This window comes from Homo sapiens, chromosome 1 (assembly GCF_000001405.40).
Source record: "Homo sapiens chromosome 1, GRCh38.p14 Primary Assembly".
Taxonomy (NCBI): Eukaryota; Metazoa; Chordata; class Mammalia; order Primates; family Hominidae; genus Homo; species Homo sapiens.
In genome coordinates, this window is record NC_000001.11 from 153,064,209 (window position 1) to 153,089,222 (window position 25,014).

A 25,014-nucleotide genomic window follows, 5' to 3' on the forward strand; every position below is an offset into this window, starting at 1 on the left:
GGAATAAGACTAAAAATCTATAACCAACTTAAAACTGGAAAATTCACACATTTGTGGAAACAAACAAACAAAAAAACACTCTTAAACAACCAACAGGTCAAATAAGAAATCACGGGAAAATTAGAAATAGCTTGAGACTACTGACAACAAAAACACATCATACCAAAACTTCAGGATTGCAGAAAAAGCAGTGCTAACAGGGAAATTTACAGCCATAACCACATATATTTTTAATTTAAAAAATTCTCAGATCAATAACTTCATGTTACACCTTAGGGAAATACAAAAAGAAAAGTAAACTAAACCCAAAAAAAGTAAATATGAGAGACTAGAATGGAGATAAATAAAATAAAAGACAAGAAAACAATAGAGAAAATCAGTAAAACCAACTTTTATTTCATTGAAAAGGCAACAAAACTGACAAATTGTTAGATTAACCACAGAAGAGAAAAATGATGTAACACTCAAATAGCTAAAATCTTAAAAGAAAGTGGGGAAGTTACTACTGATTTTACAGAAATGAAAAGAATTTTAAGGGAAAACATCGAAACAATTCTATGTCGGCTTATCAGATAACCCAGTTGAAATGAACAAATTCTTAGAAATATACTGTCTACCAAACCAAATCATAAAGAAATAGAAAATTTGAAGAGATGTATAAAAAGTAAGGAGATTGAATTATTAATCTAAAATCTCACAAGAAAGAAAAGTGTTGACCCAGAAGGATTTATTGGAGAAGTATATACCAATCCTTCTCAAACTCTATCAAAAAAGAAAACTTAAAATAGAGAATACTTCCTGCCTTATTCCATGAAGCCAGGATTACCCTGATAGAAAATCCAGACAAAGACACTGCAAGGAATGAAAACTACACACCAATATTCCTCATGAATATTGATGCAAAAAATGCTCAAAAACATTTAACATACCAGATAATTCCTGTGGCTCTGGGCAAGATGGCCAACTAGATGCAGCCAGGTAGAATAGCTGCCACTGAGGGACAGAGACGACTGGCCCACTTTTAACAGATTTTCAGAGGGGAGGCACTGAGAGTGAAGCAACCACAAAACAGAAAAAAGCAGGGATTGCAATCCCAATTTCAGACAAAGAGACTTTAAACCAACAAAAATCAATAAAGACCAAAAAAAGCATTACACAGTGGTAAAGGATTCAACAAGAATACCCAACTGTCTTAAATATAAATGCACCCAACACAGGAGCACTCACATTCATGAAGCAATTTCTCAGTGCCCTTCAAAGAGAATTAGACTCCCATACAGTAATAGTGGGAGACTTTAACACCCCACTGACAGTATTAGACAGATCATAGTGGCTGAAATTTAACACGTGTATTCAGGACTTGAAGTCAGCACAGAACCAAATGGACCTGATAGACATCTACAAAACTCTCTACCCAAAAACAGAGACTATACATTCTTCTTTTAGCCACATGGCACAAACTCTGAAATCAATCACATGGTGGGAAATAAAACACTCCTCAGCAAACACAAAAGAACTGAAATCATAACAACCAATCTCTCAGAAGACAGCACCATGAAATTTGAAATCACGACTGAGAAATTCACTCAAAACCATACAATTACATGGAAATTTAATAAGTTGCTCCTGAATGACTTTTGAGTAAATTATCAAATTAAGGCTGAAATCAAGAAGTTCATTGAAACTAATGAGAATGAACATACAACATACCAGAATCTGTGGACACAGCTAATGCAGTATTAAGAGGAAATTTATAGCACTAAATGCTCACATCAAAAAGTTAGAAAGATATCAATGTAACAACCTAACATCACAACTAAAAGAACGAGGAAACCAAGAAAAAACCAACCTCAAAGCAATCAGAAGACAAGAAATAACCAAAATCAGAGCTAAGCTAAAGGAGACTGAGATATAAAAAAAATCAAAATATCAACAAATCCAGGAATTACTTTTAAAAAATAATAAAACAAATTGACTGCTAACTAGACTATAAAGAAGAAAAGAGAAAATATTCAAATAAACACAGTTAGAAAAGACAAAAGGGATATTCACAAATGAATTCTACCTGATGTACAAATAAGAGCTGGTACCATTCCTGCTGAAACTATCCCAAAAAGTTGAAGAGGAGGACTTCTCCTAACTCATTCTATGAGGCCAGCATCATCTTGATACCAAAACCTTGCAGAGACACAAACACTAAAAAGTAAATTTCAGGCCAATATCCTCAATGAAAATCAATGCACAAATTCTCAGCAAAATACTGGCAAACCTAATCCAGCAGCACATCAAAAAGCCTATCCACCAGAATCAAGTTGGTTTTATCCCTGGGGTGCAAGAATGGTTAAACATACACAAATCAATAAATTTGATTCATCACATAAACAGAACTAAAGACAAAAATCACATGATTGTCTCAATAGATGCAGAAAAAGCTTTCCATACAATTCAACACTGCTTCATGTTAAAAACGCTCAGTAAACTAGATATTAACCAAATGAATATTCCTCAAAATAATAAGAGCCATCTGTAACAAATCCACAGCCAATATGATACTGAATAGGGAAAAGCTGGAAGCATTCCCCTTGAAAACTGGCACAATACAAGGATGCCCTCTCTCACTACTTCTATTCAACATACTATGGAAAGTCCTGGCCAGAGCAATCAAGAAAGATAAGGGTAGAAAGGCGACCAAAATAAGAAGCAGGAAGTCAAACTATCCCTGTTTGCACACGACATGATTCTATATCTAAAAAACCCTATAGTCTCGGAACGAAAGCTCTTTCAGCGGATAAACAACTTCAGCAATGTTTCAGGATTCAAAAACAACATACAAAAATCAGTCAATCAATCACTAGCACTCCTATATACCAGCAACAGCCAAGCCAACAGCCAAATCAGGAACACAATCCCATTCACGACAGTGGCAAAAAGAATAAAATACCTAGGAAAACAGCTAACCAGGGAGGTGAAAGATCTCTACACAGAGAACTACAAAGCTTGCTGAACATCAGAGATGACACTAATAAATGGAAAAACATTCCAAGCTCATGAACAGGAAGAATCAATACAGTTAAAATAGCCAAACTCCTCAAAGCAGTTAGCAATTTCAATGTGATTCCTCTCCTATCAAACTACCAATGACATTCTTCACAGAACCAAAAAAAAAAAACAACAATTATACAATTCTATGAAACCAAAAATTAGCTTCAATAGCCAAGGTAATCCTAAACAAAAAGAACAAAGCTGGAGTTATGATGCTACCTGACTGCAAACTATACTATAAGGCTGCAATAACCAAAATAGCATGGTACTAGTACAAAACAGACACAGAGACTAATGGAACAGAATAGGAAACCCAGAAATAAAGCAACACACCTGTAACTATCTGATCACTAAAAATGTGACAAAAACAAGCAATGTGGAAAGAACTCCCTATTCAATAAATGGTGCTGGGATAACTGTCTAGCCCTATGTATAAGACTGAAATTGGATGCCTTCCTTACACTATATACAAAAATCAACTCAAGATGAATTAAAGACTTAAACGTAGAGCGCTAGATTACAAATACCCTGGAAGACAACCTAGGCAATACCATTCTGGACATAGGGACAGGAAAATATTTTATGACAAAGACACCAAAAGTAATTGCAACAAAAGAAAAATTGATGAATAGGATAAACCAAAGAGCTTCTGCACAGCAAAGGAAACTATCAACAAAGTAAACAGACAACCTACAGAATGGGAGAAAAGTTTCGTAAAGCATGCATCTGATAAAGTTCTAATATTCAGCATCTATAAAGAATTTAAACAAATTTACAAGAAAAAAAAAACAGCCCCATTAAACAGTGGGCAAAGGACAGAAATAGACACATTTCACAGGAAACATACATGTAGCCAATAAGTATATGAAAAACAAGCTCAACATCACTGATCATTAGAGAAATGTAAATCAAAACCACAATGAGATACTAACTATTTCACACCAGTCATAATGGCTATTATTACAAAGTCAAAAAATAAAAAGTTCAGGAGAGGTTGCAGAGAAAAACGAATGCTTATACAGTGTTGGGGGAAGCGTCAATTAGATCAACCATTGTGGAAAACAGTGTGGCAATTACTCAAACAGCTAAAAACAGAACTACCATTCCGACCAGCAATCCCATTACTTGGTATATACCCAAAGGAATACAAACCATTCTGTGTCATAAAGATACATGCACATGTTATGTTCATTGCAGCACTATTCATAATAGCAGACATGGAATCAAACTAAGTGCCCATCAATGATAGACTAGATAAAGAAAATGTGATACATACACACCATGAAATACTATGCAGCCATAAAAAAAGTGATCAAGTCCTTTGCAGGAACATGGGTAGAGCTACAGGCCATTACCCTCAGAAAACTAATGCAGGAACAGAAAATCAAATACCACATGTTCTCACTTATAACTGGGAGCTAAATGCTGAGAAAACATGGACACATAGAGGGGAACAACAGACAATAGGGCCTATTGGAGGGTAAAGGTTTGGGGGACAGAGAGGATCAGGAGAAATAACTAATAGGTACTATGATTAATAACTGAGTGATGAAACAAGCTGTACAATAAACCCCGGTGACATGCATTAACCGATATAACAAACCTGCACATGTACCCCTGATTTTAAAATAAAAAATTTTTAAAAATAGCAGATACTGGACAGGATGCAAAGAAAAAAGAAGCCTATATACTTCTGGTGGGAATGTAAATTAGTACACCCGCAGTGGAAAACAATACAAAGATTTCTCCAAAAACTAAAAATAGAACTACCATTCAATCCTGCAATCCAACTACTGTGTATCTATCCAAAGGAAAAGAAATCAGTCCATCAAACGGATGCCTGAACTCCCATGGTTATTGCAGTACTATTCACAATAGCAAAGATATGTAACCTAAGTGTCCATTAACGAATAAATGGAAAAAGAAAATATTGTATAGACACACAATGAAATCCTATTTTGTTGTAAAAAAGAATAAAATCATGTCATGTGCAGCAACACGGATGGAACTGGAGGTCATTATGTTAAGTAAAATAAGTCAAGCAGGGGAAGACAAATACTGCATGTTCTCACTCATCTGTGGGAGCTACAAAAGTTGATCTATAAAGGTAGAGAGTAGAATGATAGTTACCAGAGGCAGGGAAAGATGTTCAGGGGGTGGAGAATGAAGAGATGCTAGTTAAATAGTACAAACATAGAGAGACGTAAAAGAGGTAACTTTAAATATTTGATAGCGGAGTACAGTGACTACAGTTTACAACAATGTATTGTATTTTTCAAAATAGCAAAAAGAGAGGAATTAAAATGTTCCCAGGAAAGAAAGAAATGATAAATGCTCAAGGTCATGGATTCCCTAAATTTCCTGATATCCTGACGTGATCATTACACATTTGATCCATGTAACAAAATATCACATGTACCCCAAAAATATGTACAAGTATTATGAATCAATTAAAAATAACAATAGGGAGTCTTCTTATTTCCTGTATTAGTTACATCCAAGCCACTCTCTTTCTGGAACAAATATCTTGGTGGTTGTAGCAGGGGGTGATGATGATTATGATGATGATGATGCTTCTGGGGGAAACGATGATATATTGCTGCTTCTTAGCAGCAAATTCAATAAAATGACTGCTATTATGTGTCAGGTATTGTGCCAACCAAATTTCAGATAGAAATTAGATTTTATGACTTAGATTATTTTATGATGTAAATATTGTTTGGTTCACATTGCAGTAAAAAGATAGACATTTGGAGAACTGGAATAATATGTTCTGCAAATCAATCAAACACTAAGAAAAATAAAAGGGGTATAAAATGATACAGAACTAATACTTGCTATGACCCAAAATTCATATAGCAACAATTGTAAGATCTTCCCTGAGGATCACAGAAAGATAGGAATAAATCTAAATGGTCATATCACATTGCTAATAAAGCAGATTTGAAAAGAAACAAAAGACCCATTCACAAATATATATGCATAGATACTTTATTCAGGGAGTGAAAGAAAAGTGACAATTGCACAGGTGGTAGAAGCTCATGCCCAGGTGAAAGACAGACACAGAACACATCAACAGAATTCTCTGATGGTTCCCAGGCACACAGCTGCAGCTCTTTCTGCTGAAGCTCTGGGAACTGACAAAGCCAAGGTTCCTTTGCTCAGTCTCCACCTGGACAGTGGCAGTATGGCAGCCTTAGAAAGGAAACCTTTTGCTATCAGGGAACATCATGGGCAGATCACAGGCTAAGGGGAAAGAAGCTCCCTATGAATCCATGATAAGCTTTGATGAGAAGATGAAGGTGGAGCTGTGGAACGAGGTGAGCCAATTATCCTTATCCTCTCATGCTCCTGATGAATCCTGAAGCTGTTACTTGCTCTTCGGTGGATACTTTGGCTGGCAGGGTGGGGAAGGTGTCACAGGAGGATATTTCTGCTGGCACTGCTGAGGTGGGCAGGGCTGTGGACACTTTGGTGGTGGGCAGGGCTCAGGGCACTTCGGGGGTGGACATGGCTCTGGGCACTTTGGCGTGGGGCACACAGGAGGTGGCTGGCAGGGCTGCTTGCACTGCTGCTGTTGATAAGACATCCTGCTGGAGTCTCAGGATCTGAAAGAAATGATACAACAGTGTTCGTGGGAAGGGAATCCTCCAGAGAGAGAAGCCAAAGCTTATGTAATACCATGGCATATTATTTCTCCAATCTCCAAAAATTTATTTAAACTCTTAGCTCTCTTTTCATGACTTCCTGTCTTCTCCTTTCCACTTTAGCAAGTGGCTTCATCAGCCCTAGGAATTCCTGCCTTTCCTCATACAATTTTTCCAAAGAAAACATCTCTGTAATAAAAAATCCAGCATGTTAATCCAAGAAATTAACATCTTCATGAAAGGCAGTCACAAGTTCAGACCCCCTGGGCAATCTCACAAGCTATTCCTATCATCATTATCTGTTGTAAAGTCCCAATGGCTTGACTTGGGCACAGAGCAAGGGCTGTTCAGGAAGAAGTGCTGGCTCTCACACCTGCTAAGACACAAACCTTTGAAAAGGATACCAGAAAAATATGGAAAAGAGAAAAATACTTTATCCTTTTCTTCCAACCAAAGCTTTCCTATTAACTTCTCTGTCCATATGAACATATAACTGTATATATTTTTTAAAGCTGTGTAAAACACTCTATCACATAGTCTAATCCTGTATTTCCATCCACTAAGTACCATCAAACCCATGATCATAGGTTTGAATACACCAAACTTGCTGGATTCAAATTAAATTCAACATTTCAGGGCAAAAAGAACAGAACTCAAGGAAGCAGACTAACCAGTTTCTCCAAAGCAGATCGGTGCTCGAGTACCAGGAGTTTAGGAGTTGGGCAGCAGAGAACCTCTTTATAGGGCCAGCTACCCCACCCAGCAGGAAGTGGAACTGCCTAAACTGAGCTGGTCCAGCAATGTCCCAACCAAAATGCAAATTTATCCATAACTGGCATGACAGGGATTCTCAAACTGGGAAACATCATGGAGGCCCTGCCTTAGATCTCAGTTTCAGTGACTTATGGCAAAGAGGGACTTGGGGGATTCTCTAACTGGTGGTCAAGGGCTCTCTTTCTTGATTGGGGGCAATGAATGCTTCCTGTCTTACACATTCCCTAAATCATAAAACTTCCTGCCCCGATCCACTTTAGCTGAATGCCATATTGTTGTACATGAACCCATCTCCACCCCTTCTTTCCTCGTACAATTTGCCAGTGTGCTAGAAGGACCTAACAAAGGCCTGAGTTCTGGCCACAGATTTTTTTGCTAAGTTGTATGCCAGGTCAACTCTCCTCTCTGGAATGGTAAACAGAGAAGCATCATATCTACCTCTGGTTTTGAAGGCAGTGACCACATTGTGCCATCTGTTGACCCTGTTCAAGCCTGAAATTTTCTACTTCACCTCTGTCTTTCTCTCACAGAACCCCAGATTTTACCTATATTCCTTTTCCCTTTGAAGTTGTCTTACACACCTCTTATAGAGGCACTTGTGTCCCAGGACAGACACCAGAGTGAGATCCAGTCTCCCCAGTATGTTTGCTACTGCTGCTATCAAGGATGTGTACTACAGCCTTTTTATTTATAGAAATGTACTTAGTCACCACATTAAGGAAATGGAGAGAAGGGAACCAAAGTTACAAGCATTCATTTTAAATCTATGTATTGAACCATGCCTATATCTTTCCCTGTGAACATCCTATAGAGAACAAAATGCATAGACTTACAGTATCTTATGTAAATAGAGAAGAGAAGGGGTCTTCTCAGAGTAGAGAAGGTCAGAGGACTTAAAGTCTGAAATCTAGGGGAAAATATCAACTCAGTGTGATCCTATATGTTTGCTTTCTCTACCTCTCTTTCCAAACAGGTTTTAGTCTTTGAAAGACAGTATTATTTTATTTGTTTGTATGTTCTTCCTTTGTCTTTTCCCAAAGCCCTCTAGCCCCACAACCTGCTAGATTATCAATTCACATCCCAATGTATACCTCTCATCTGTCCATTTTAGTACACATTGTTCACTCGATACGTATGTTGTCAATGTGAATGTCTTTCACATCTTTTTAAAACTCTTCCTGCAATCAATGGGGCTTACTAAGCATCATATATTAAACACTTAAAATACTGCTGCTGGAGCTTCCTTATCTGGGCCAATAATCAAGAACCTTTCCAAGAATGTGGTTTTATAATTGGAGAAGAAGAAGGACAAGGAAGATAAGAAAAAAAGAGGAAGAGGAGTGACTCAAATTCTTTGGAGCACTCACCAGCTACGCTCCAGATAGAGCAAGAGCGCTGAATCAACCCAGCATCACACCTCTCAGTTAAGCAAGTTAGGTTTCCAGATCTGCAATTGCTCCAGTCTCTAAGGAAGGGCTTTTGGCCAAGATCACCATGGCCAGACACTACAGAAATAGAACTATCATGTCAACACCTTGAGTCCAGGTGTTTACAAACAGTGTTCTCACCAAATGTGTCCACATGTCAAGTACAGTGGGTGCAGTAAAGGGATTTCACTCAATAGGTCCCCTACTCTTCCCCAGAGCCTCACATCACATCTACAACACAAATCCTTACAGAAATGTCTTTTTTCTGCCATGCAAAATTGGAGAATTGGCTGCTAAATGAGATCACTGTGTGAGATAATACAGTTTGGGTCATGCCCTGAGACTCCCCTTCTGAGAACACCCCACTCAAACAGGCTGTTTATCACAGCAGTGCAGGCACCAGAGCGGCAGCAGCCCTAGTGCCCCCAGCATCTCAGACAGGCTCACTTTACGAGTTGAGATGGTGAACTGGAAACTCAGAGTTCCTCACAGTTCAGCTACATGAAGAGTGGTCATAACATGAAGAGGAGCAGCTAACAGTCACACCTTCCCCAGGTTAGGACATCCAGGCCCTGAGACATAGAGCGAGGCATACTTCACACACACACACACACACACACACACACACACACACAACATGAGTCTTTATCTATCATCTATCTACATGTCTAAAGAGGTTAGCTTTATCTTCTTTAAGAGTCTGATAGCCTTAGGTTCATTCCTATTACTTCTACTCCATAATTTTCTAAGGGATCATTAAGTATGAATGATTAGTACTTAAAAATGACAGGAAAGAACAAATACTTTACTTTTTTGTGATTCACAAAGTATATTTGAATTTTATTAATTATATATTCACTCATTTGTGCGTGTGTGTGTTCATAATGCTATGAAATTTACATCACATATGTAGCTTTGGCTACTACTACAGTCAAGATAAATAACTGTTCCATTACCACAAGGCTCCTCTGCTCCCCACTTATAGCCACCCCTGCTTTCTCAAATACTTACCTCTAGTAAATATTACTCTTTTTTCTATCTCTATGATTTCATTATTTTAAGAATATTTTAGTGAATTTATACATCATGCAACCTTTTAATAATTGTTCTTTTTTTCATATAACAATTTCACGGAGATCCATTCACTTTGTCCACTTTTAATTTTGTGTAATATTTGATTCAACATTTTATCTCACATTTCAATACTATACATTCCACTAAACAAAATAGTGCTGGCAAATAAAGATTTAAAATTAAATATGAAAAAATAAAGAAACAAAATTATGGTAAAATATTCTTGATAAGCTCAGAGAAAGGGTAACTGCAATTCCCCATGCATATCTGTCTTCTGCTTTTATTTCTGAATGAAAGGCTAAGCATCCATTGTCCTTCCATGCTGAATCCAATAAATTACAGAACATTCATATGGTAGAATAGTGAAAATCATTAAGGTGGATGTTTTGGAAATTTGTTTAGTATAATTTAAAACACTGGAATTGTACTAAAAACATATAAAGCATGACATGATTCTCATCAACATTTATTAAAAGATAGGAAACATATGAAACAATATATTAAATGTGATTATATATGGCTGGTGAAATTACAGATGATACCTATTTTCTTGTTTTACTTTTCAAAGTATTCTCCAAATGTTACCTATTACTGAGTAAGGAATCTTAAAATTCTACTTTGAAAAGTTGACAAGAGACAAGCATGTCCATTGCTCAGTTAGTCAGATAATGGTCTTTTTTATTTTTTCAGCATTTTTGGGCAGACGCTAAAGGTGGAGCTGGATGGAAGCAGCAGTTGTTTTATTGTTATAGCTCTACATTTGATCACATCCCTTCTAAAATCTCTCTTGAAGAAAACCCTGATAATATTCCCCATCCTCATAGCACTGACATACATACACTGAAGCCACAGACATGCAATAACCATATGTATCTATAAAATAATTCACCAGGCCGGGAACGGTGGCTCATGCCTGAAATCCCAGCACTTCGGGAGACCAACGTGGGTTGATCACGAGGTCAGGAGTTCAAGACCAGCCTGGCCAAGATGGTGAAACCCAGTTCTACTAAAAATACAAAAATTAGCCAGGCGTGATTGCAGGGGCCTGTAATCCCAGCTACTCGGGAGGCTGAGGCACAGAATTGCTTTAACCCAGGAGGCGGAGGTTGCAGTGAGGTGGCGTCACACCTCTGCACTCCAGTTTTGGTGACAGAACAAGACTCTATCTCAAAAAAAATAAATAAATAAATTTCAAAAAATAAAAATAAAAAAAAACAGTTCACCAAAATTGGCAGATCATACTAGAGTAAAAAAAATCAGGAATGAGTTTGTCTACTATCTAAGAGCCAGACAGATAGAAATCATAACATTGGCCATAATATGATGAAATTGGAAGAAATGGATGATTAGTAACAGGTGATAAAGATAATAGAACAAAGTGATAATAATAGTACCTACTACTAAATTGTCATGAGAAAAAAATTAAATCAGAGACTGCATTTAAAGTATTTAGCACAGGCTACAGAGAGTACTCAAAATAGTAAAGAAACACATGGCTAATCAAAGAGATAGGGGCAAAATATTGAAGTCAAGTTGTTTATGGCTGAGAAAGACATTTGCTTCTCTTTAAGACCTTTTATATCACCATTATCTTAAGTGTGTGCCAGAAGTTTTTAGGACAAAGCAAATGCAAATGTATGATTTGAATGAAGTGTGCAGAAATAATAAGGTAGACTGATCTTGACATTTATTCTTATGTGATAAAAATGAGTTAACCTAAGCAGAAATTTAGAACAACGGATAATGTTTCTGTGTTATTTGGACTCTCTACAGCTTTCCTCTGAATTCAGATAATAAAAAAAAGTCTGAAAACAATAAATAGCAATATGTTGATTTGTTGATTTGAAAAATATTAACATGTATAGATATATGTATTCTATGTGAAAAATATATGTTTTATTCTTCTGAAAAAATATATAATGTTACCTCTAATTTAGTCTACTGTTACTGTGGTTAGCTGTTTAAGACAATTAAAAGATTGCTCATTTAAATATCACATTCCTTCTGCAGACAAATTACCTAAATTTTAGGCTAAATCCTTGTAAGCAACTGAATAGCTCATTAGCACTAATCTTTCCAAAGTGTATAAACCTTTTAAATTCTACTTTTATTTTCTCCATATGTTAGATCCAAATATTTAAGAGCAAAATTCAAGAGTTATTAGTAATATAAAGTACTCCTGTATGCTTAGTGTTAATGAGATTCAGAAGAATATATGGTAAATGATGGAATAATTCAGATACTTCTACTTGTAAGAATCTTTTCAAGATAGTGAATGTGCATAGGCTGTGGTCTTCCTCCAAAAAAGTCAAAAAGGAAAACAAAGAAACACAAACAAAATTGTGAAAACATTTGGAGAGAAAAGACTATTTGAACTCTTACATAGGATGAGAGTCCTGAAAATTCTACTGTAAGTTTGAGAAAGGTTAAATAAAGTATAAACACTAAGAAAAAAATCAAAACTAACTCACAATCTTAAAAGATAAACATAATTTTATGACACGATCCAGCTACAGCACATTCAAAAATTGATCTAGTACATTTTAAAATATGTCAACACAAAATAATGTGCATTCAAATAATTATAGCAGCTTTAGTCATAATATCCACTATCTGTGATCTACCAAGATGTCCTTCAATAATTAAATGGATAAACTGTGGTACATCACACCCATGCAATGGAATACCACACAATTATAACATGGAATGACCTATCAAGACTCACAAAGACATGGTTGAATTTGAAATGCAAACTGATAAGTTAGAAATGTCAGTCTTAAAGGCTGTAGGCCCATTTATATGATTTCCATAAGAGGCAAACTTATGCATCCAAAAATCGCAACAAACTCCAAGTTCGATGAGTTCAGTGACACCCACCATGACACACATTACAATCAAATTATCAAAAGAGAGAATCTTGAAAGCAGCAAGAGGGAAGTGAATGATCATATCTAAGAAATCCTTAAGAAGTAGTTGACCAAATGCTCATCAGAAACCTTGGAGATCAGGAGGTAGTGGGATGACGTATTTAAAGCCATAAAAGAACACACTTTCAACCTAGAATTCTATAGCTGGCAAAATTGTCCTTTAAAATGAGGGCAAAATTATGGCATTTCCAGAAATCAAAACTTGAGGCATTTCATTGTCTGTAGATTTTGTGTATGAGAAATGATAAAGAGAGACTCTCCGGTTGAAATAAAAGGATGCTGGAGAGAAACTATGTGAAGATACAAAAATCTCTGATAAATGTACACTGGTACATAAAAGCTGGCATTGTTGAAATTTTAGCTTGTAACTTCAATTTTTATTTTCTACAAGATTTAAAATGCAAATGAATGCAATATAATTACAAGTCTATGTTAGCAAACTCACGATGTATAGAGATGTAATTTGTGAACGCAAAAAAAAAAGGATAGAGTTGTATGAGTCAAATTTTCTTTTTTTTTCTTTTCTTTTTTTTTTTCGACACAGTCTCACTGCATCACCCAGGCTGGAATGCAGTGGCATGATCTTGGTTCACTGCAACCTCTGCCTCTGGGCTCAAGCTATTATCTTGCCTCAGCCTCCTTAGTAGTAGAAGTACAGGCATGTGCCACCACACCCAGCTAATTTTTGTATTTTTAATAGAGGCAGGGTTTCGCCATGTTGGCGAGGCTGGATATGAGTCAACTTTTTGATGCAATTGGAGTTAAACGGGTGTTAATTCAAATTAGATTACTATAACTTTAGGATATTATACATAATCCCCAATGAAAACACAAAAATGTTTTCGAGTATACACAAAAGATAAAGGCAATAAAATCATTTTACTACAAAAAAAATCTAATAAACATAAATCAGACAATATTGAAAAACAAACATTGTACAGAAAAGAGTAAATGCAGAAAGAAGACCTTTCTCATCAGTAATTACTTTAAATGTAAATGAATTAAATTCTCCCCAACAACACAAATTGGAAGAATGAATTAAAAAAAATAGTTCAACTATTTGTTGTTTACAATAGACGAACTTTACAGTTAAAGACACAAAGGAGGTGAAAGTAATAGGATAGAAAAAGATATTTCATGTAAATAGTAGCCAAAAGAGACCAGAGGTGGCTACACTAACATCAGACATAATTAACTTTAAGTTGAGAACTGTTATAAGAGACTACAAAAGACATGTATATATATTTCTTTTAAGGAGCTTACTTTCTGTTTTTTTATTATACTTTAAGTTTTAGGGTACATGTGCACAACGTGCAGGTTAGTTACATATGTATACATGTGCCATGTTGGTGTGCTGAACCCAGTAACCCGTCATTTAACATTAGGTATATCTCCAAATGCTATCCCTCCCCTCTACCCCCACCCCACAACCGGCCCCAGTGTGTGACGTTCCCCTTCCTGTGTCCATGTGTTCTCATTGTTCAATTCCCACCTATGAGTGAGAACATGCGGTGTTTGGTTTTTTGTTCTTGCGATAGTTTGCTGAGAATGATGGTTTCCAGCTTCATCCATGTCCCTACAAAGGACATGAACTCATCACTTTTTATGGCTGCATAGTATTCCATGGTGTATATGTGCCACATTTTCTTAATCCAGTCTATCATTGTTGGACATTTGGGCTGGTTCCAAGTCTTTGCTATTGTGAATAGTGCTGCAATAAACATATGTGTGCATTTGTCTTTATAGCAGCATGATTTATAATCCTTTGGGTATATACCCAGTAATGGGATGGCTGGTCAAATGGTATTTCTAGTTTTAGATCCCTGAGGAATCACCACACTGAATTCCACAATCGTTGAACTAGTTTACAGTCCCACCAACAGTGTAAAAGTGTTCCTATTTCTCCACATCCTCTCCAGCACCTGTTGTTTCCTGACTTTTCAATGATCACCATTCTAATTGGTGTGAGATGGTATCTCATTGTGGTTTTGATTTGCATTTCTCCGATGGCCAGTGATGGTGAGCATTTTTTCACGTGTCTTTTGGCTGCATAAATGTCTTCTTTTGAGAAGTGTCTGTTTATATCCTTCGCCCACTTTTTGATGGGGTTGTTTGTTTTTTTTTCTTCTAAATTGGTTTGAGTTCAGTGTGGATTCTGGATATTAGCCCTTTGTCAGATGAGTAGATTGCAAAAATTTTCTCCATTCTGTAGGTTGCCTATTCACTCTGATGGTAGATTCTTTTGCTGTGCAGAAGCTCTTTAGTTTAATTAGATACCATTTGTCAATTTTGGCTTTTGTTGACATTGCTTTTGGTGTTTTAGGCATGAAGTCCTTGCCCATGCCTATGTACTGAATGGTATTGCCTAGGTTTTCTACTAGAGTTTTTATGGTTTTAGGTCTAACATTTAAGTCTTTAATCCATCTTGAATTAATTTTTGTATAAGGTGTAAGGAAGGGATCCAGTTTCAGCTTTCTACATATGGTTAGCCAGTTTTCCCAGCACCATTTATTAAATAAGGAATCCTTTCCCCATTGCTTGTTTTTGTCAGGTTTGTCAAAGATCAGATGGTTGTAGATATGCAGCATTATTTCTGAGGGCTCTGTTCTGTTCCATTGGTCTATATCTCTGTTTTGGTACCAGTACCATGCTGTTTTGGTTACTGTAGCCTTGTAGTATAGTTTGAAGTCAGGTAGCATGATGCCTCCAGCTTTGTTCTTTTGGCTTAGGATTGACTTGGCAATGCGGGCTCTTTTTTGGTTCCATATGAACTTTAAAGTAGTTTTTTCCAATTCTGTGAAGAAAGTCGTTGGTAACTTGATGGGGATGGCATTGAATCTATAAATTACTTTGGGCAGTGTGGCCATTTTCACAATATTGATTCTTCCTATCCATGAGCATGGAATGTTCTTCCATTTATTTGTATCCTCTTTTATTTCATTGAGAAGTGGTTTGTAGTTCTCCTTGAAGAGGTCCTTCAAAGATGTGTGTATTGATAGAGATTTATTCACCAAGAAAACCTAGAAAATATAGAAAGCTATAAACCTACATTTACTAAACATCAAAACTACAAAATATGCGAAGATACAGTGAGAGAAATTAAAAGAAGTTCATAGGTCTATAATAAATGTTGAAAACTCAAATAATTCACTCTCAAAAATGGCTAGAATAATAAAAGTTTGAAAAAATAGAGGGCTTAAATATATAAGCCAATTGGACCAAATAGACAAATATAGAACACTCCACCCAACAGCAGCAGGATACACCTTACAGCTTTCTCAAGAGAACATGGAAGAACACTCTCCAGGATAAACCATATCCATTAGGCTACAGAACAAGTTAATATATTTTAAAAGGCTAAAATCATGCAATGAACTTTTCCAATCACAGTGGAATAAAACTAAAAACTTATAATCAAATTAAAATGGGAAATTTTACAAATTTGTGGAAATTAAACAACACACTCTTAAAAAGTCAAAAAGGAAAACAAAGAAACACAAAATTGTGAAAAAAATTTGTACAGTAAAGGCTGTTTGAACTGTAACATAGGATGAGAGTCCTGCAAATTCTACTGTAAGTTTGAGAAAGGTTAAATAAAATATAAACACTATAAAAAAATACAAACTAACTCACAATCTTAAAAGATAAACATAATTTTATGATACGATCCAGCAACACCACATTCAAAAATTGATCTAGTACATTTTAAAATATCTCGACAAAAAATAAGGTGCATTCAAATAATTATGGCAGCTTTAGTCATAACATCCACTATCTGTGATCTACCAACATGTCCTTCAATAATTGAATCGATAAACTGTGGTACACACTCATGCAATGGAATGCTGTGCAGTGATAACATGGAATGACCTGTCAAGACTCACAAAGACATGGTTGAATTTGAAATGCAAACTGATAAGTAAGAGAAGTCAGTCTCAAAGGCTGTAGGCCTATTTATATGATTTCTGTAAAAGGCAAACTTACACATTCAAAAAGCATAACAAACTCCAAGTTCAATGAATTCAAGACACCTACCGTGACACACCTTATAATCAAATTATCAAAAGAGAATCTCGAAAGCAGCAAGAGGGAAGTGAATCTTCATATCTAAGAAATCCTTAAGAATCCAATGAATTCAGTGACACCCAGCGTGACACAAATTATAATCAAATTATCAAAAGAGAGAATCTTGAAAGCAGCAAGAGGAAAATGAATCATGATATCTAAGAAATTCTTAAGAAGTAATTGACCAAATGCTCATCAGAAACCTTGGAGATCAAGAGGTAGTGGGATGACATACTTAAAGCCCTAAAATAAAACACTTTCAACCTAGAATCCTATAGCCAGCAAAATTGTCCTTTAAAATGAGGGCAAAATTATGGCATTTCCTGAAATCAAAACTTGAGGCAGTTCACTGCCTGTAGAGTTTCTGTATGAGAAACAACAAAGAGAGACTCTCAGGTTGAAATAAAAGGATGCTGGAGAAAAACTATGTGAAGATACAAAAATCTCTGATAAATGTACACTGGTATATAAAAGCCAGCATTATTGAAATTTTAGCTTGTAACTTCACTTTTTATTTTCTACAAGATTTAAAATGCAAATGAACACAATATAATTACAAATCTGTGTTGGCAAACACACAATATATAAAGATGTAATTTGTGAATTCAACATAAAAACAGGATAAGGTTGTATGAGTCAATTTTCCTTTTCTTTTCTTTTCTTTTTTTTTTTTTTTTTGACACAGACTCACTCCATCACCCAAGCTGGAATGCAGTGGCAGAATCTTGGCTCACTGCAACCTCCGCCTCTGGGCTCAAGCAATTATCTTGCCTTTTTAGTAGTGGAACTACAGGCATGTGCCACCACATCCAGCTAAGTTTTGTATTTTTAGTAGAGACAGTGCATCCTGCCCTGTCATTTCGCCATGTTGGGCAGGCTGGATATGAGTCAACTTTTTGATGCAATTGGGGTTAAACGGGTGTTAATTCAAATTAGATTTCTATAACTTTAGGATACTATACATAATCCCCGATGAAACCACAAAAATATTTTCAAGTATACACAAAAGATAAAAGGCAATAAAATAGCTTTACTACAGAAAATTAAATAAACATAAATCAGACGGTATTGAAACACAAACAGTGTACAGAAAATAGTAAATGCAGAAAGAAGACCTTCCTTATCAGTAATTACTTTAAATGCAAATGAATTAAATTCTCCCCAAAAACACAAATTGGAAGAAAGAATCAAAAAAATTTAAATATAGAACACTCCACCCAACTGCAGCAGGATACTCCTTACAGTTTTCTCAAGAGAACATGGAAGAACACTCTCCAGGATAGACAACATCCATTGGGTTACAGAACAATTTAATATATTTTAAAAGACTAAAATCATACAATGGACCTTTCCAATCACAAGGAAATAAAACTAAAATCTTATAATCAAATTAAAATGGCAAATTTTACAAATTTGTGGAAATTAAACAACGCACTCTTAAACAACCAACAAGTCAAATATGAAATCATAGGGAAAATTAGAAATCGCTTGAGACTACTCACAACAAAACACATCATACCAAACTTATGGGTTGCAGCAAAAAGCAGTGCTAACAGGGAAATTTATAGCCATAACCACATACATTTTTAATGAAAAAAAAAAGATCTCAGATAAATAACCTCATATTGCACTTGGGAAACTACAAAAAGTAAATTAAGCTAAACCCCCCAAAAAGAAAACATGAGCCTAGCATAGAGATACTAATAAAGGACAAGCAAACAGTAGAGAAAAATCAATAACATTGTTTTATTTCTTTGAAAAGTTCAACAAACTTCACAAATCTTTAGACAGAATAACTGCATGAATAAAAACGATGTAAGACTCAAATAGCTAAAATCTTAAAAGAAAGGAGGAACATTACACTGATTTTACAGAAATAAAAAAATTTGAAGAGAAAGCTATAAATAATTCTATGTCAGCTTATTGGATAACACAGTTGGAATGAACAAATTCTTAGAAATATACTGTCTACCAACTCGTGAAGAAATAGATAATTTGAATAGATGTATAATAAGTAAGGAAATTGAATCACTAATGTAAAATCTCACAAGAAAGAAAAATGTTGAACCAGAAGGATTTACTGGAGAAATGTAAAACAATCCTTCTCAAAATCTTTCAAAAAAGAAAGCTGAAAATAGGGACTACTTCCTGTCTTATTCCATGAGGCCCGCCAATACCCTGATACAAAAGCCAGACAAAGACAATACAACTAATGAAAACTACAGAACAATATTCCTCATGAATATGATGCACAAAAGACTCAAAAACATTTAGCATACCAGATCATTCCTGTGGCTCTGGGCAAGATGGCCAACTGGATGCAGCCAGGTGGAACAGCTGCCACTAAGGAACCGAGATTACAGGTGCACTTCTAACAGATATTCAGAGGGAAGGCACTGAGAGTGAACCAAGAGAAGACCCAGAAGTTAGGCTGAAAAGAGAGAAAGCTGGGAGCCCTGCACAGGGACACTACACACCAGAACTCGTTCCTGGCCTCCAGTGACTCCAGGGGAACAGCTGAGCTGAACCAGCAGGGAGGAACCCACTCCCGCCATGGGCCTCTGGAATTCCAGCAGGAGAAGACCCCCTCAACCACCAGGGACACTCCAGTTGGCAGGCAGAACTGCTTAGAGAGGTGACAGAGGCAGCATGCCAGCTGACGTGGAACCCAAGGGGTTTGGTAAGGGAGTGTCTGTAATGGAGCAGGGCTAGGGATGGCCATCTCTCTAGGCTCAACTTGCTCGCATAGGAGACTTTAACCCTTGGGGAGCTGTTGGACCTGAATTCTGCAGGGCAATCTTGCCTTTCAGATGGGGCCAGTCTGACCTGAGCACTCTCTGGTCAGCTGGTGTCTCCTGGGGTACCAGCCTGGATGCACTTCCTTGCAGAACAAACTCTGGTGACTTTGGGACCCACATTTTAGCCTTTGTGCTGGCAGATCACAGCTAACAAATGGAGAACTCCAGCGAGGCAGCTGCCCGTGGTCACCCACCAGCCCATCTGCTCGCTCCACAAACTACAGCTTCCCCTGGGCCCAGAGCAACACCCCATATCACTTTGCCAGCATGTGAGTGCATGAGTGGGTTTTGCTTTCCTCTCCCCACCAGTACATATGAGAGTGTGCATCCTGCCCTGTCACTGCTGCAGTGAGAGTACAGTCAGCTTCCTTCTCCCTGGTGATGGCCATTGCAGTCACATAGCCAGCCAGCCCCAACTTTCATGCCAATGTATACCCTTGTGCCAACACTGCCATGGGAGTGAAACTAGGCACTGGAAACAGTGGAAACTCCTGCACCCCAAACAAAAACCCCAAATTGTTGCACACAGAAAAAGCACACACACCTGCACCCATCAGCACCCTACCCACATACCAACAACACTACAAGTGTGACAACACACAGTCACCAGAAGGGACCTCCTATGCCCTCAAGCCACATTGCCTCTACCACTGTGGTGAATGTCCCCACAGAGGCAGGTACCCTAGCACCTGCAAGAACCCTGCCCCCAGCCCAATAGTATGCACCCTGCCATGCTGCCACTGCTCTTGACACATACAAACAAGAATGGACCCCACTGCCACCACACTGCAAAACACTTTGGCTGACACCACCCATCAGAGTGTAGTGAACAGGGGTCAGGGAGCACCTCAGCCTCCATAGCACAGTGGATTCCTAACCCGGGGGAGCCAAAGAACAAAGTCAAGCCTGACACACTTCCCTCAGAGTTATGGCATGCAGTCCAGGATTTGGGAGCTGAGTGTTGGGACCCTAAAATAGATGAAGCCAGTCATCTGAATTGATGTTATACCACAATCAAAACCTCAAGGTTATCAAATGAGATAAAGAAATTAAAACCCATCCAAATGTCAGCAACTTCAAAGATTGAAGGAATATAAGCACATGAAGATAAGAAAGAATCAGCACAAGAACTCTGACAACTCAAAAAGCCAAGGTGTCTTTGTTCCTCCAAACAACCACACAGCCTCTCTAGCAAGGGTTCTGTACTGAGCTAGGATGGCTGAAGTGGCAGAAATGGAATTTCAATATGGATAGGAAGGAAGATCACTGAGATGTAGGAGTATGTTGAAACCCAATCCAAGGAAGCTAAGAATCACAATAAAACAACACAGGAGCTGACTGACAAAATAGCCAGTAAAGAAAAGAACATAACTGACCTGAAAAAGCTGAAAAACACTACAAAATTCATTTTTTGTTATGTCATAATGCAATCACAAGCATTAACATCTGAATAGACCAGGCAGAGAAAAGAATCCCAGAGTTCAAACACTGAAATAAGACAGCCAGACAAGAAAAGATAGAAATGAATGAAAAGGAATGAATGAAGCCTCAGAAAAATATGGTATTTCATAAAGAAATCAAGTTAGTGATACATTGGTGTTGCTGAAAGAGAAGGGAAGTGTGTAACCAACTTGAAATGTATTTCCAGATATTATCATCCATGAGATCTTCCCCAGCCCAGCTAGAGAGGTAGACATTCAAATTCAGAAAATGCAGAGAACCCAAGTAAGATACTACAGAAGAACATCATCTGCAAGACACATAATCATCAGATTCTTCAAGGTCAAATGAAAGAATAAATGCTAAAGGCAGCTAGAGAGAAAGATCAGGTCACCTACATAGGGAAGCCATTTAGACTAAAAACAGACCTCTCAGCAGAAACCGTACAAGCAAGAAGAGATTGGGAGCCAATATACAACATTCTTAGAGAAAAGAAATACCAACCCAGAATTTCATATCTAGTCAAACTCAGCTTCATAAGTTAAAGAGAAAAAAGATCCTTTTCGGACAAGCAAAGGCTAAGGGAATTTGTTACCCCCAGACCTACCTTACTAGAGCTCCTAAATGGAGCACTAAATATAGAAAGGAAAAACAATTATCAGCAACTACAGAAACACACTTTAGTACACAGACCAGTGACACTATAAGGCAACCACATAAACAAGTTTTTAGAATAACCAGCTAATATCATGCCACAATCAAATCCACATGTATCAATACTAACCTTGAATGTAAATGGGCTATATGCCCCAATTAAAACGCAGAGTGGCAAACTGAAAAAAGAACAAAGACCCATTGGTATGCTGTCTTCAAGGGACCAATCTCACATACAATGACCCACATAGGCTCAAAGTAAAGGGATGGAGAAAAATCCACCAAACAAATGAAAAACAGAAAAAAGCAGGGGTTGCCATCCTAATTTCAGTCAAAAGAGACATTAAACCAGCAAACGTCCAAAAAAAGACCAAAAACAGCATTACATAATGGTAAAAGATTCAAAGCAACAAGACAACCTAACTATCTTAAATATATGTGGACCCAGCACAGGAGAACTCAGATTTATCAATCAAGTTCTTAGGGACCTTCAAAGAGATTTAGACTCCCCAGTAATTATAGTGGGAGACTGAAAAGTAAGATACAACAGAAGAACATCATCTGCAAGACACATAGTCATAAGATTCATCACAAGGACTGTATTAGACACATCATAGAGACAGAAAACTAACAGTGTTATTCACTACCAAAACTTAGCACTGGATCAAATGTACTTGCTAATAATCTACAACTGTTCACCTAAAAACAACAGAATATATATTCTTCTCATTGCCACATGGCTCATAGTCTAAAATCCATCACAAGATAGGAAATAAAATACTCCTAAGTAAATACAAAAGAACTGAAATAATAACAACCAATTTCTCAAACCACATTGGAATAACATTAGAAATTAAGACTAAAAAATTCACTCCAAAACATACAATTACTTAGAAATTCAGTAGCCTGCTTCTGAATATCTTTTGGATAAATAATCAAATTAAGGAAAAAAATCAAGAAGTTCTTAAGCTACAACATACCAGAATCTCTGGGACACAGCTAAGTCAGTGTTAAGAGGGAAATTTATAGCACTATAACACAAAGAAACCCCATCTCTACTAAAAATACAAAAAATTAGCCAAACGTGGTAGTGGGCACCTGTAGTCACAGCTACTCGAGAGGCTAAGGCAGGAGAATTGCTTGAAACAGGGAGGTGGAGGTTGCAGTGAGTCGAGATCACGCTACTGCAATCCAGCCTGGGCAACAGAGAGTGACTCCATCTCAAAAAGAAAAAAAAAATCTGGAAAGATCTCAATGCAAAAACATAACATCACAAATAAAAGAATTAGAGAACCAAGAGAAAACTAACTGCAAAGCAAGAAGATTATAAGAAATAACTGAAATCAGAGGCATACTGAAGGACATTGAGACACAAAAAACCATTCAAAAGATCAACAAATCCAGGAGGTGGTTCTTGAGAAAAATGATGAACTAAGTAGACTACTAGTTAGACTAATAAAGAAGAAAAAGATCCAAATAAACACAATTAGAAAAAACAAAGGGGATATTACCACTGACTCCACAGAAATACAAATAAACATCAGAGAATATTACAAACATCTCTATGTACATAAGCTAGAAAATATAGAAAAAACAAATGCATTCTTGGACACATACACCCTCCAAACCCTGAGCCAGGAAGAATTTGCATTTGTGAAAGGACCAATAATGAGCTCCAAAATTGAATCAGTAATAAATAGCCTACCAGCCGAAATAAGCCCAGGACAAAACAAATTCATAGCTGAATTCTACCAGATGTGCAAACAAGAGCTTATATCATTTCTGCTGGAACTATTCCAAAATATTGAGGAGGAACTCCTCCCTAACTCATTCTGTGAGGCCAGCATCATCCTGATAACAAAACCTGACACAGACCCAACAAAAAAAGAAAACTTCAGGCCAATATCCTTGATGAATGTCAATGCAAAAATCCTCAAAAAAATACTGGCAAACTGAATCCAGCAACACATCAAAAAGCTTATCTACCACAATCAAGTTGGCTTTACCCTTGGGATGCAAGGTTGGTTCAACATAGGCAAACCAAAAACTGTGATTCATTACGTAAACAGAACTAAAGACAAAAAATCACAAGATTATCTCAATAGATGGAGAAAAGGCTATCCATAAAATTCAACACCCTTTCATGTTAAAAACTCTCAAACTAGGTATTAAAGAAACAGACCACAAAATAATAACAGCCATCTATGACAGACCCACAGCCAACATCATACAGAATGAGAGACAAGAGACTGAGAAAAGAAATAAGACACAGAGACAAAGTATAGGGAAACAACAGTGAGCCCAGGAGACCGGCACTCAGCACACCAAGGACCTGCACCAGCACCAGTCTCTGAGTTCCCTCAGTTTTTATTTATTATTATTTTCATTATTTCAGCAAAAAGGAATGTAGTAGGAGAGCAGGGCGATAATAAGGAGAAGGTCAGCAAAAAACATGTGAGCAAAAGAATCTATGTCATAATTAAGTTCAAGGGAATGTACTATGCCTGGATGTGCATGTAGGCCAGATTTATGTTTCTCTCCACCCAAACATCTCAGTGGAGTAAAGAATAACAAGGCAGCATTGCTGCAAACATGTCTCATCTCCCACCATGGGGTGGTTTTTCTCTGATCTCAGAATTGAACAAATGTAAAATCGGGTTTTATACCGAGACATTCAGTTCCCAGGGGCAGGCAGGAGACAGCGGCCTTCCTCTATCTCAACTGCAAGAGGCTTTCCTCTTTTACTAATCCGCCTCAGCACAGACCCTTTATGGGTGTCAGGCTGGGGGACGGTCAGATGCTTCTCATCCCACTAGGCCATATTTCAGACTATCACATGGGGAGAAACCTTGGACAATACCCCGTTTTCAAGGGCAGAGGTCCCTGCAGCTTTCTGCAGTGCATTGTGCCCCTGGTTTACTGAGACTAGAGAATGGCAATGACTTTTACCAGGTATACTGCTTGTAAACATTTTGTTAACAAGGCACATCCTGCACAGCCCAAGATCCCTTAAACCTTGATTTCATACAACACATGTTTTTGTGAGCTCCAGGCTGGGGCAAAGTGGCTGGGGCAAAGTGGCTGGGGCAAAGCTACAAATTAACAACATCTCAGCAAAGCAATTGTTCAAAGTACAGGTCTTTTTCAAAATGGAATCCTTATGTCT

At 37.2% G+C, this 25,014-nt stretch overlaps 1 protein-coding gene across 3 annotated transcripts; it reads right to left on the bottom strand.

The window, feature by feature from the left end:
- Window positions 1-6,017: 6,017 nt before the first annotated feature.
- On the bottom strand, window positions 6,018-23,591 carry SPRR2B (small proline rich protein 2B). 3 transcript variants are annotated; one of them, XM_047428866.1, is made up of 2 exons: window positions 23,554-23,591; window positions 6,018-6,650 (listed from the first exon to the last, which is right to left on the bottom strand). In XM_047428866.1, the coding sequence occupies exon 2, from the start codon at window positions 6,629-6,631 to the stop codon at window positions 6,413-6,415; it is 219 nt and encodes a 72-aa protein (XP_047284822.1). In that variant the 5' UTR covers window positions 6,632-6,650; window positions 23,554-23,591; the 3' UTR covers window positions 6,018-6,412. The 3 variants fall into 3 exon arrangements, with proteins under 3 accessions (XP_047284822.1, NP_001375127.1, NP_001017418.1); NM_001388198.1 differs by lacking the exon at window positions 23,554-23,591 and adding an exon at window positions 7,361-7,403; NM_001017418.3 differs by lacking the exon at window positions 23,554-23,591 and adding an exon at window positions 7,357-7,403 and having other exon boundaries at window positions 6,020-6,650.
- Window positions 23,592-25,014: the final 1,423 nt, after the last annotated feature.